Raw genomic sequence first — 14,878 nt, 5'->3', positions numbered from 1 at the left:
ACTGCTCAACGAAATAAAAGAGGACACAAGCAAATGGAAGAATATTCCATGCTCATGGATAGGAAGAATCAATATCGTGAAAATGGCCATACTGCCCAAAGTAATTTATAGATTCAAGACCATCCCCATCAAGCTACCAATGACTTTCTTCACAGAATTGAAAACAACTATGTTAAAGTTCATATGGAACCAAAAAAGAGCACGCATAGCCAAGACAATCCTAAGCCAAAAGAACAAAGCTGGAGGCATCACACTACCTGACTTCAAACTATACTACAAGGCTACAGTAACCAAAACAGCATGGTACTGGTACCAAAACAGAGATATAGACCAATGGAACAGAACAGAGGCCTCAGAAATAACATCACACATCTACAACCATCTGATCTTTAACAAAGCTGACAAAATCAAGAAATGGGGAAAGGATTGCCTATTTAATAAATGGTGCTGGGAAAACTGGCTAGCCATATGTAGAAAGCTGAAACTGAATCCCCTCCTTACACCTTATACAAAAATTAATTCAAGATGGATTAAAGACTTAAATGTTAGACCTAAAACCATAAAAACCATAGAAGAAAACCAGCTGGGCGTGGTGGCTCATGCCTGTAATCCAAGCACTTTGGGAGGCCGAAGCAGGCAGATCATGAGGTCATGAGATCAAGACCATCCTGGCTAACACGGTGAAACCCCATCTCTACTAAAAATACAAAAAATTAGCTGGGCATGGTGGTGGGTGCCTGTAGTCCCAGCTACTCAGGAGGCTGAGGCAGGAGAATGGCGTGAACCCAGGAGGCAGAGCTTGCAGTGAGCTGAGATTGCGCCACTGCACTCCAGTCTGGGCAACAGAGCAAGACTCCGTCTCAAAAAAAAAAAAAAAAAAAAACCCTAGAAGAAAACCTAGGCAATACCATTCAGGACATAGGCATGGGCAAGATCTTCATGACTAAAACACCAAAAGCAATGGCAACAAAAGCCAAAATAGACAAATGGGATGTAATTAAACTAAAGAGCTTCTGCATGGCAAAAGAAACTACCATCAGAGTGAACAGGCAACCTACAGAATCGGAGAAAATTTTTGCAATATACCCATCTGACAAAGGGCTAATATCCAGAATCTACAAAGAACTCATACAAATTTACAAGAAAAAAAACAAACAACCCCGTCAAAAAGTGGGCAAAGGATATGAACAGACACTTCTCAAAAGAAGACATCTATGAGGCCAACAGACATATGAAAAAATACTCATCATCACTGGTCATCAGAGAAATACAAATCAAAACCACAATGAGATACCATCTCATGCCAGTTAGAATGGCGATCATTAAAAAGTCAGGAAACAACAGATGCTGGAGAGGATGTGGAGAAATAGGAACGCTTTTACACTTGATGGGAGTGTAAATTAGTTCAACCATTGTGGAAGACAGTGTGGTGATCCCTCAAGTATTTAGAACTAGACCTACCATTTGACCCAGCAATCCCATTACTGGATATATACCCAAAGAATTATAAATTATGCTACTATAAAGACACATGCACACGTATATTTATTGCAGCACTATTCACAATAGCAAATACTTGGAACCAACCCAAATGTCCATCAATGATAGACTAGATTAAGAAAATGTGGCACATATACACCACCGAATACTATGCAGCCATAAAAAAGGATGAGTTCATGTCCTTTGCAAGGAAATGGATGAAGCTGGAAACCATCATTCTTAGCAAACTATTACAAGGACAGAAAACCGAACACTGCATGTTCTCACACATAGGTGGGAATTGAACAATGAGATCACTTGGACACAAGGCAGGGAACATCACACACTGGGGCCTGTTGGGGGGTGGGGGCTGGGGGAGGGATAACATTAGGAGGAATACCTTATGTAAATGATGAGTTGATGGATGCAGCAAGCCAACATGGCACATGTATACCTATGTATCAAATCTGCACGTTGTGCACATGTACCCTAGAACTTAAAGTATAATAATTAAAAAAAAGAAAGAAAGTGGCTCTTGTTTAATAAAGCAGAAAAGTAATTTAAAACAAGAATATTTGGTAAAGCATTAAGTCACTGGGTGCATCCAAAAACTAGATTTAAGTTATGTGGCCAGAAACAATTAATCAAGTCACACCACAAAGGTGACCTGATGATAACCCTTCTGCTGTCACCACCATGTACTAGATGCTGTAGCTGTAATCTCAAACCGTAGGCAATAGACACTGGACACTGCCACTAACATTCCTGATAGTGCTGTCCCTAAAAACATGGTCTTGCTGCAACCACGACCACCAGAGAGAGAATAATTCTCTGCTGCCCTTATTCTTTAGATCTCTAAATGTCAAATTCAAAGACCCAGAAAGGTGCATCATTGGCTGAGCCTAGGTTATGTCCCACATCATAGCTGCAAAGAATACTTGGATATGTGACATTTTTATCTTCTATACTGGGAAATGGGCTCTGCCTCCTATACTAGGAGTCATGAGACAAGGAATTCTTCAAACATGGCAAGAGATTCAGATACTGGACAATTCTCCAGATGAAAAATATCTATTTCGCTATTGTTAACTTCAGCCAGCACCTGGCACATAGTAGGAAGTTAATGAATATTTGTTGGTGGAGTGATTGAAAAGCATAAAAGACTGAAAGTGACTAACAATAGTCTACAGGAGGTGATCAGGTAGGTGAGAAGGGACTTAAATAGCATCCTCCCCAGTACAGGATACAAAATGGCAGTTGGGTCAAAGACCTGGGCAAGGCAATGTGTGCCTGGTCCAACCATGACCTCCCAGGCAGGGACAGCTACCTGTGAGGATGCCATGGATAGACAGAAGGCCACCTAGGATTTCCACCTCCAGGCTTTCAAGTACAAGCATACTTTGTTTTATTTGTACTTCACATATAACGTGTTTTTTCACAAATGGAAGGTTTGTGCAACCCTGTGTGGAGAAAGTCTATTGGCGCCATTTTTCCAACAGAATGTGCTCACTTCATGTCTCTGTGTCACATTTCGGAAATTCTCACAACATTTCAAACTTTTTCATTATTCTTATATCTGTTATGCTGATCTGTGATCAGTGATTTTTTAAATCTTACTATTATAATTGCTTTGGGGTGCCAGGAACTGCACCCATATAAGAAGGTGAACTTAATCGATAAATGTTGTGTGTGTTCCAACAGCTCCACTGACCAGCTGTTCCCCATCTATTTCCCTCTCCTAAGGCCTCCCTATTCTCTTAGACAATATAATGTTGAAATTAGGCCAGTTAATAATCTTACAGTGACCTCTAAGTGTTCAAGTGAAAGGAAGAGTCACATGTATCTCACTTTAAGTCAAAAGCTATAAATAATTTTCCTTTGCATTTACAACTTGGCTAACTGTTTGGCCTCTTGTGCCAAACAGCCAAGTTATAATGCAAAGGAAAAGTTCTTGAAGGAAATTAAAAGTGTTAGTCTGGTTAACACATCAATACTAGGAAAGTGAAACAGCCTTATTGCTGGTATGGAGAAAGCTTGCATGGTCTGGGTAGATCACACTAGCCATAACATTCCCTTAAACCAAAGCCTAATCCAGGGCAAGGCACTAATTCTCTCCAATTCTATGAAAGCTGAGAGGTGAGGAAGCTGCAGAAGAAAAGCTTAAAGATAGCAGAGGTTGGTTCATGAGGTTTAAGGTTGGAAGCTGTCTGCATAACATAAAAGTAGAACATGAAACAGCAAGTGCTGATGGAAAAGGTGCAGCAAGTTATACAGAAGATCTAGCTAAGATTATTGATGAAGGTGGATGTACCAAACAACAGACTTTTAATGTAGATGAAGCAGCTTTATATTGGAAAAAGATGCCATCTAGGACTTCCATAGCTAGAAAGGAGAAGTCAATGCCTGGCTTCAAAGCTTCAAAGGATATGCTGACTTTCTTGTTAGGGGCTAATGCAAAAAAAAAAAAAAAAAAGCAACCAAAAAAAACACCTTTTTTCAACATATTACCACTCATTGACAAGGCACTAAGTACCCAAGAACACTGATGGAGATATACAAGGAGATTTATATTGTTTTTGTGCCTGCTAACACAACATCCATTCTGCAACCCATGGATCAAGGAGTAATTTTGACTTTCAAATCTCATTATTTATACATTTTGTAAGGCTATAGCTGCCATAGATAGTGATTTCTCTGATGTATCTGGTAGAAGTAAATTGAAAATCTTCTGGAAAGGATTCATCTTTCTAATTGCCATTAACATTCATGATTCAAGCAGATCAAAATATCAACATTAACAGGAGTATGGAAGAAGTCGATTCCAGCCCTCATGGATGACTTTGAGGAGTTCACGACTTCAGCAGAGAAAATCACTGCACATGTGATCAAAATAACAAGAGAAATAGAATTAGAAGTGTAACTTGAAGATGTGACTGAATTTGAAACTGGCCCAACTGGCACATAGAACTAATGTTTACTGTTTTTTGGATAAACATAGAAACTTGAAACTGACCCTCTTGGTCTTAAAGCCTGAAACTTGCATTTGTCTTATCTGAGTTTCTTCCTGAGGAAACCAACCCTCGGGCCTCCCAGATAGTTCAAGGAATTTAAACTCACCAGATCACCACATCCAAACAATGGGATGCCAGACCCCTCATCCATCATGATGCCTGTTTACCAACTCCTCTTCTTTATCCCTCTGTAATTCCTGTTTTCTGGCATGTAGTTACATTTCTTCCTGCTATATAAACCCCTAACTTTAGTCAGTCAGACAGATGGATTTGAGACTGATCTCCCATCTCCTTGGCTGCTGCACCCGACTACAGCCTTCTTCCCTGGCAAAATTCATCATCCTGGTGATTGGCTGTCTGTGTGGCCAGCAGCAGGACCTAGTCCAAACCCCTGGCATTTCAGTAACAGACTTTGATTCCCTAACTGGGAATGCATTGCTCATGGCTTAGTTGCTGTGGGCCAGGAGTTTCAGAAGCCCTCCTAAGCAGCTGCCCATCCCTTTTTTAGCCGGAGGTAACTTTCAGTTTCTCTCTGGCTCCGCAGCTGCCAGCACTAATACTAGACAGCAGGATCTGCTCCTCTCATTTTGGGAAACTCTGAAGGAATTTCTGTGTGCAGGTTGAACAAGCCCAACTGACTGAGAGAGGAAGCACCCCTACTGTTTTAGTTTGGGCCCTCTTGGGGCTTGTTGGTTGGTACAGCAGTTGGATTGTGTTTTGGTGATGGTGTGTGTGTGTGTGTGTGTGTGTGTGTCAGTATAGTCACAGGAAATCAGAATTTGATAAACAAATCATCTTTTATAATACTGTTTGGCCCCACTATTCTTTGGAGTCTGGAACAGCTTCACCTCTCCATGGGTCTCATTTTGTTGTTGAATGAGAAAGCAGGATAGAATTTCATGTATTCAGGCTTTTATGCTGTTGTTCTAAGCAGAATCAGGCCTGGTTAATACGTGATGTTCTTCTGTGGTACTGTTTGGCCCTGGAGTTCTTTGGAGTCTAAAGACGTTTGGCCTTTAAAAATCAAAATGCCATGGAAACTGCTTTACTCCAAATTTTGGTTCACAACCATAACTGGATTACCTACCAGGGCAAACAAAATTTAGCAATGTGAAAATGTTCATAAACTAGTGAGCTTGTATTGCTATCTTATGGCTAGAGTTCCAAGGTAAAAGCCATTGGAACTTTGTGCATGTATATACATGTCTAGATGTGTTTATTTGTATGTACATTTATTAGGTTATATGTTGTGTCTTCCAAATTGGCTTATAATTGAGAGTGCTTAAATTAAAGGAGCACATAAGTTAAATAAATATGTCCTAGCATTTTTCAAGTTCACATGACTTGAATATATCTTCTTTAATAAACAAGCTGGCTTTAAAATTATTGGTAAAATAAAAATAGAAATGTCTTTAAAATTGTCAGCATACATTTTTGTCTGGATTTTACATTTGTCCATGCTAGATACTTTGAGGTGTCAGGATTTGGCACGAAAGGTTATAAAACTATAAATCTAGCCAAAACCAAAATGATCTCTGTTTGTGTGACTTTTGACAAATAAGACCAATTTAATGTTGTTGGTTTCACAGCTGAATCTTCTGAATTATTGGTAAAAATACCCATGTATTTAACTTAAAGATTCTTACTTAGGTGCACACCTACTATGCACAGGTTATAAAAATGAAATGACGACTAGCTTTGTCTAATATCTCAGTTCTCATAAGTTATGTAGATAAACTGCTAAAAACGAATGAAATGTAAATGGGATAAATGCTGTATGTGAACATTTTGTGTAACTTAAAATCTTAAGATCATTTTGGATGCTCATTGGATGCCTGGGTCACTTTCAATTGTGAAAGCATTCTGACATGGGGAAACAATTTTTTAAAGTGTGGAATGGTTCTCATCTAGAAAATGCTAACATTTGATAGTTCAGGATTTTCTGCTTCCTTGGTTTTCACTAAAATTTATGGTTACTAAGAATAAGAAGTATAGTTAATAGATAATTCTGTATATAAAATGTGCTAAAGAAGATGTGTTCCTGTTAAGAAAAAGAATAATTATGTTTAATTCGGAAGTTGTCTGAAGGTTTATTCAAATTATGGACTTGAAAAGGTTATTTATGAAACAAGGTAGAAAGAAACCAATAAGTAGGGGAGAGAGATTTGAAGAAAGTTGTGGATATGAAGATGTATTTTTAATAAGGAAGTTTATAAAGAAAGAATAATTTCATATGAGAAAGAACCTTGTAAAATAAATTTTTGTCCTGAGTAAAATGGTTAGTTATTTTAAAAAGAAAAAAATTAGGACAAAATAGAATGTCCAAGCATGTCATGGATGGTCTGTGTAAATCATATACAGTTGTGTTTTTTTTTTTCTGGTTCTCTGTGTGTCTATCTTCATGCACATACAAAGAAAATAGAAAGTTTAAAAAGTTTAGATAATAAAATATTTGTTAAAACCTAATAAAAAATGGAGAAATTTGGCTAACATTGCTCATAGTTAAAGCTCTTAATTTTGATTAAGGTAAAATAGGAAATATTGTAAAGAAATACATTGGCAGTTTGGCCATTCTTTTTCAATGTAGTTAAGCATGAAGCCAGATTTAACATGGAGCCAAATTTCACATAAATGTTTGCATTCCTTTACTTCACAATGTATTTGCTATGCTGCATAGACAGTACTAACACTAAGTACTTACTAGTCATGTGCCTAAAGTGAATTTCTTAATTGCATAAAATCTATACTGGTATTGGTGGACTTAAAGACATTAATTTGTATACCAGGAACAAAATATCCCTCATGTGTTTTTTTTAGGCTCTGGGTAATGCTGGAGCCTTTAAGGTGAACTGAGTAGGAGAAAACCTGGGGGTTGTTTTCTTGTTTGTTTTTGCTTTTCATTTTAATTTTGCTATTTGTTCTCCTTTGGGTTTTACTTATATATACATATATACATACCTACACATATGTATGTATATATACATACCTACACATATGTATGTATATATACATACCTACACATATGTATGTATATATACATACCTACACATATGTATGTATATATACATACCTACACATATGTATGTATATATACATACCTACATGCTTAGACATTCTATTTTGTTGTAATTTTTTTTCTTTTTAAAATAAGTAACCATTTTACTTAGGACAAAAATTTATCATACAAGATATACATATGTATATGTATGTATATGTGTATATATATGTGTGTGTGTGTGTGTGTGTGTATATATATATATATATATATATATATGCTGTCTAGTTTCTAATAGAGAACTTTCATTTGGTTCTATGAATAGTCTTGTGTTTCCTGTGCATTTCCAAAAATATATCATTTGCTCTATTTATCTGAAATTACTAAGCTACTTTATTAAGCCTCTAAAAATTGATAGAACGCACTGTTCACTTAAACTTTGATTGATTTTGCTCACCTCTCATGATCTAGAGAGGTATAAGAGCTTTAAGGTTCCTGGCAAAAAAAATCAAATAAAAGATTTATTTTTGTAAGTTCTGAACAGAAATAGTACATTGGTTTGTTATTTGGAAATGTAGTTGAAAGTGTTTAAATGGTGTTTATCTCCAAGTTAATTCAATTCAATTAATAATTTGGGTTGGTTTCAGATCTTTTCCTTCAGGTATTGAGGAAAAATCGTGATATGTGTACAAAGTTTTAATGTTCATGAAAGATTGGCCTTGTCCTTAAGGAAATTACATTCACTGCTATTTCTCTCAGACTACTTTAGTTGCATTTACCATTATTAAAATTAAATGACATTCACTTGGATTAAGCAGTAATAATAAAAATGTGAGGCTTTCTAGTGATATTTGGTCCCAAGACTTTTATCACTGTCAGGCCCTCATATGTGTGCCTGAAAACAAAATATGTACAAGTGTTGCAGTGGTTTGAAGATTCCAGTGGTGAAAGTTACTGAATCAGTTGTCAGTACTGTATCTAGAAACCAATCATGGAAATGTGTGATGATACTCTTTTAAAATAGCTGAAAAGAAATTATTCTGTACCTGTTCTTACTCTGTCCCTGTTTTGTTGGATAATATTTGAGTGAAAGGAACTTATTTATCCTCACACTGAATTCCAAAACTGATATTTGCATTTACCATTTTTTAAATGATGGAGAGAAAAGTTAATTGTCTTACTTAGATATGTTTGCCATAGGACCTATAACATTTCTGATGCTTTAGGTCACAGTTCCATCACTAAAATGCTACCAATTAGATATGTGCAAGGAGTAACCTAATCACTTTATTTTTTGGTAATTTTATACTTTTTTTTGAGACAGAGTCTCACTCTGTTGCCCAGGATGGAGTGCAGTGGCATGATCTTGGCTCACTACAACCTCTGCCTCCCAGGTTCAAGTGATGCTGCCTCAGCCTCCCAAGTAGCTGGGATTACAGACATAAACCACCACACATGGCTAATTTTTGTATTTTTAGTAGAGACGGGGTTTTGCCATGTTGGCCAGGCTGGTCTCAAACTCCTGACCTCAAGTGATCCACCCACCTTGGCCTCCCAAAGTGCTGGGATTACAGGCATGAGCCACTTGTGCCCGGCCAATATAATGTTTTTAATAATCTTGTGCATGAAACAAGGTTTGTGTATATAGAACCATCAGAAAGCAAAGGTGTCACTATCTCAGCCATCCATGTGGATAATCTGTGGTTGTTTGGCATCCATTATTCCTAACTCTGAATTTATATGCTACGAATAAGCAATCACTTTCTTACACTTGTTTACACACAAGTACTTAACAGTAAAAAATATGACATATCATTCATACAGTGAAAACATAATGTGTTCAAGTAACTAAGCAGCACAGTAGCACCACCAGAATTCCTGTGTCAGCTGTTCAACAACAGCAACAACATACAATACCACATTTTCAATCTCCACGTATGATGCTGTGTTTCCATTAAAATGGGTACTGTACACTGTATTTTATTTTTTAGGTGAGAAGAAATACCACAAGCAGTGGAGAAACCAGGAAGTAGGCCCTTTAGGGATGAGGAGGCATTCTGCTAGATGACTTTTTAAAGTGTTTCCTCCAGAGTAATTTGTCTCATTAACAACAGTTTTTCTCTTCTTGATTTTATAAACTGACATGATTTCTTATTTCTTATTTGTTATGAATGCATACTGCTCTAGTCCTCCAATAAGCCCATCATACATTTTCACCATATCATCTAAAGGCACTTTTTCTGCAGTGTTAATAATGTCATCTTCATCATTGCTATGATCATATCACCTTTATTCAGGATCATGTTGACTCTTCCACCACTGGTTAATGAATGAAAAACTGGATTGTTCATCATTACTGAGCATAATCACAGGCCAGAGGTTGTGCCAGGCATGCACGGCTGTGTCCTTAGTCACTGTTTTCCAAGCATTAGTAACAGTATATATGGTATCATTTATGCCCAACTCCTTTTAAAAACCTTCCACACCCATACCTTTCTTCATTGCTACTAGCATGCTGTTCGATAAAGTTTTTTTTTTAAATATTTACTCTTCAGTGAGTTAAGGATACCCCAGTCACATGGCTGAGTTAATAGAGTCACATTTGGGGGAAATACATGGTATAAACATTATTTTTAATGAGAATTTCAGCTGAGGAACGAGCAAAACAATTGTCAAGGAATAACTAAATCTTGCAATGGTCACCCAGTCCAGCTTCCCTGAAGTGAGCACAAGCTGCTGGTACAAATTGTGAAACCAATCAGAAAAGGCATCGCTAGCGATCCATGCCTTATTGTTAGCATAATAATGGACTTAAAAGAAATTCACTCCTTGAAAACAACAAAAATGCAAGCTTTTGCCTACCACAGTAAGCTGACAGTTATGTGTGCCTGTGGCATTAGCACATTCTAGCACAGTTATTCTGTCCTTGGCATCTTTAACTCCTGCAGGGGCTGTCTCCTCCTCTGTAGTCAGTGTATTTCTGGGGCAGTGGTTTGAAGTGCTGCAGGCAGTAACTACTGGAGACCAAATCACAGTGTTTTAATTTGTGACATGTTAGAGAGAATAATAGGACTTTCTGCAGTATTAGTAAACTGAAGCACTAATTTCTAAATGTTCTTTTTTTATGTCTTTAAATGTTTCATTAAACATTGGCTTCTGTTTTTAGCATAAATGCATATATTATACTCGATCATTTATATTGTAGATAGAAACTTATTTTACAGCAAAGTAGTCTGTCTGCATATTATGGGTAGAGTGCCCCTTTATTGTAATTTTATTTCTATATTGCTTTTAAAGCCTTTTGATGATCACTTTTGGTTAAATGAATAACTGTTATTTTACAATGACCTGTGATTCTGTTTTAATAAAACGTTTCAAGTCTTTTAATTTCTTTGATAAGCATCCTATTAACTAATCCTTGTGCTGTTAAGTTACAGGGTCTTGACTCCTGGGTCTGAAAAAGGTGCCGATACCTGCTAAATCTTGAACATTGACACCAGTCAAAGCCTCATCTTTAGACCCAGGAGAAGGCAGCAATCAAAATGAACTGCTTTCATGAGACACAGGGCCAGGAATTAAAACTATCCAATCCATCTAGGCCCAGGAACTATTGCAGAAGGGGGGCAGGCACATGAGATTGTAAGGGCCAATTTTGACAAATAAAATTAGTTATGTATGTTCTTTTGTGGTGGTTGTATGTGTCCTTATGTAACCTTCAAAAGATCTCACTGTTCTAGGCCGATGCTGAACATACAACTCAGCTTGGCGGGCAGGGGTGCAGGGAACTGGGCTTCCATTCTTAAATGGCAAAGGAAATTCCTTTGATTCATAAGCAATTCTGTAACCTTACTTTTTGGCTTTTAGTTTTTGGCTATTATGTTGCTTAAAGGGTTTTAAGTGTTAATGAGTGCCTGCCCCCCTCCATTCTTGTCTGGTCTACAGTGTTTAATTGGCTGTTAGTCTTTTGACTCTATGTCCCTTGGCTATAGAGGTCCCACTGAGGGATGAGATGGACCTAAAACATGTAGCCACACCACCTTGGCAACACTATGGGACAAAATAAATTCCTAAGCCCCCCATTGACTGAGTAGGCCCACTTGTGGCCAAGGGGACCCCAGTTGCCAAGAGATAAATCTTAACTGGGAAAAGGTCTTGTCCCTTGCCCTGCTGAGGATGTGGGTAGCCCCTAAAAGTGGATTGGCTTTTAGAGCCTCCAAAATGTATGGAAGACCATTTCTCTAACCTCCAGACTCCTTGACACTTTAGTATTTTTCCTCCTCTGACACAGAAGCTAGGTCATATATAAAACAATTAGGAAATATATTAACTAGTCTCTAAGTTTGCTTCCAACAGGCTTCAGTTCCCTAGAGATGTACCTCTCCACTTTTTGAAACTGGGAGATCCCAAGTCCTGCTGAAGACCTGGAAATCCCACCAAGCTGTAGATGAGCTGCAACCACAATGGGTCAGCCCTTTGGAGGTGCTGCTGATCACTCACTCATCTGTCAAGTTAGCTGGTGCTAAGTCGTGGATTCACTATACTCGGGTAAAACCAGTCCCTCTGGAATCTCTCCCAGGGAATCAGTCATGGTCTTGTGAACCCTCAGATGGCCTTAATATCTAAAGTCCAGTGAAAGACCCTAGTTAAAAAATCATAAAGGGAACATGTAGCTTTCGCGATTATTTTATTGGATTCCCCAAGGGATCCACTCCATATCCTTTGGTGTTTTAAAATTTAGGTTATCCATGTTATTAATCATCCTAGTCAATGTGACTTAAAATGTTGTTCTAAAACCATTAAAGTATCCAGGTCCTGGTGTTCCAACAAGTCAGATGCTGACCAGGTACTTATGAATACTTCCAATTACAGGGGTAACATTTTCATTCCTCATCAGTATCATATAATGCCCTTCCTCAGCATAAAGCAGTCAGAAAGATCAACCACCAGATTCCCCATGATTGAGGAACTGATAAGTAGAAATAGAGGACTGAAACCGGCCAATTGTCTCACAGAACTGGTGTTTACCGTCTTTTGGATAAACATAGAAATTTGAAATTGACCCTCTTGGTCTTAAAGCTTGAAATCTGCATTTGTCTTATCTGAGTTCCCTCCTCAGGAAACCAACCCTCAGGCCTCCCAGATAGTTCAAAGAATATAAATTCACCACATCACTACATCCAAACAATGAGATGCCAGACCCCTCATCCATCATGATTCCTGTTTACCAACTCTTCTTCCTTAACCCCTTCTTCCTGTTTTCCCATATGTAGTTACATTTTTTTCCCTGCTATATAAACCTCTAATTTTAGTCAATTGAGGAGATGAATTTGAGACTGACCTCCCATCTCCTCAGCTGCAGCACCTGAATAAATCCTTCTTCCCTGGCAATACTCAACTCAGTGATTGGCTTTCTCTGCAGCCAGCAACAGGACCTAGACCAAACCCCTGCTGTTTTGGTAACAAATTGCTGCAATCTCATGATAAAACTTAAATGGATGAGGCATTGCTTCTAATGGATGAGCAAAGAATGGTTTATTGAGATGGAAACTACTTCTGGTAAAGATGTTGTGAACATTGTTGAAATGACAACACAGGATTTAGAATATTACATAAACTTAGTTGATAAAGCAGCAGCAGAATTTGAAAGGATTTACTCCAATTTTGAAAAAAGTTTTACTGTGGTGGGTAAAATGCTATCAAGCAGCATTGCATGCTACAAAGAAACCTTGCATGAAAGGAAGAGTCCATTGATGCAGCAAAGTTCATTGTTGTGTTATTTTAAGAAATTGCCACAGCCATCCAACTTTCAGTGACCATCAATCACCCTGATCAGTCAGCAGCCATCAACATTGAGGCAAGACCCTCCACCAGCAAAAAGATTATGACTCACTGAAGGCTCAGATGATTGTTAGCATTTTTATAGCATTAAAGTATTTTTAATTAAGGTATGCACATTTTTAGACATAATACTATTGGACACTTTAGACTATGGTATAGCATAAACGTAAATTTTATATGCACTGGGAAACCAAAAATTTTGTGTGACTTGCTTTATTGTGATGGTCTGGAACAGAACCTGCAATATGTCCAAAGTATGCCTGTATATATTTCTCTGGCTTGTCAGCAGGTGGAGTTGATGCAGACAATGCAGAAGTTCAGGAACCATGGGTCCAAAAGCCAAGTTAAAGAAGAAATTAGGATGAAAAAAAAAAAAGAATAAATCAGGATGACATCCAGATACTAAATATATCAAGAGATCAAAAAGGGTGGCATATACTCTAATCACTGAAAGGAAACCCAAGTATTGCATAGCACCAACAACTTCAGTGTGGCTTCTGCAAAGTAAGGATAATACTAGAATTTAACCCATGCTGTGGTCAGAATTAAAGAAGCTAATGTATAGTATGTAAAGGGGCTGGCAGGTAATGGATGATCAATGACTGGTATTTATTATCACTATTATTGCATATTTGTGAAATTTTAAAACAGTTACTATATAATAGTGTTTCTTTCACCATAAGACAACTACAGTTGAGAAGGATGTCCATCCTTGGGCTCAGCCAGTGAATTGATTGGGGTTCAACCAGGAGAGAGACAGAAAACACATAGTAATTTAAACAAGAAATGTTTATTATAAAGAATTATTAACTATGTATAGTAAATTAACTACTAAGAAGGAATTTAAAAAGGATTCCAAAGAATATCCTAGGACTAAGGGAGAGTATTCAAGGAAGGAACAAACTTGGAAGGGTGGGAGGTGCTTCCCCAGGGCTAGGATTTAGATGTCATTGAAGAGGGTATGGTTTCAGCCAACTAAATGATGGAGAAGTCCACTAGGCTGGAAGCCTCCTACTGGTCTGAAGATGGCAGGCAGGAAAGCATCCCCTTGAATTTCTAATAAATTCTCTGGGAAACTGCCCAGGAGAAGGGGTTGAACATGCTGGAAAGCCAGCTAGGGCATCTTCACAACTCTCCAGGAAACTGCCCTTTTACCAGGACCTGCTGAATTTGCCTAGAAACCAGGTGGGGCACCCACAGAACGCACAGGGAATCCATACACAGGGGAGGGGAATGCTGCTGTTACTCACCTCTAGAAAGGTACATAAGATGGGGGTGGAGGGGAAGGGTTGCTGCTGAAAGCAGCAGGAATGACCTTCACTGGGTGTCCCACACATCAGCCAAGTGCCCCAAAAAGAGGAAAAGGCACAGCACACCAAAACCATGAACAGAAGCCCTTTCATCCTCCAGAGTCCCTCCAATACCCTATACAGGCAAAGCTTAAGATCATGCCAGCTGGCCAGGAGACAATGTTCCAGGATCACAACCAGGCAGCAAAAGTTGGATTTGGGGCTGAGAGGCAACATGTTGATACCTGGCACAGCTAGAAAAGCAG

This window comes from Homo sapiens, chromosome X (genome assembly GCF_000001405.40).
Source record: "Homo sapiens chromosome X, GRCh38.p14 Primary Assembly".
Lineage (NCBI taxonomy): Eukaryota > Metazoa > Chordata > Mammalia > Primates > Hominidae > Homo > Homo sapiens.
This window is presented reverse-complemented; position numbering follows the sequence as displayed.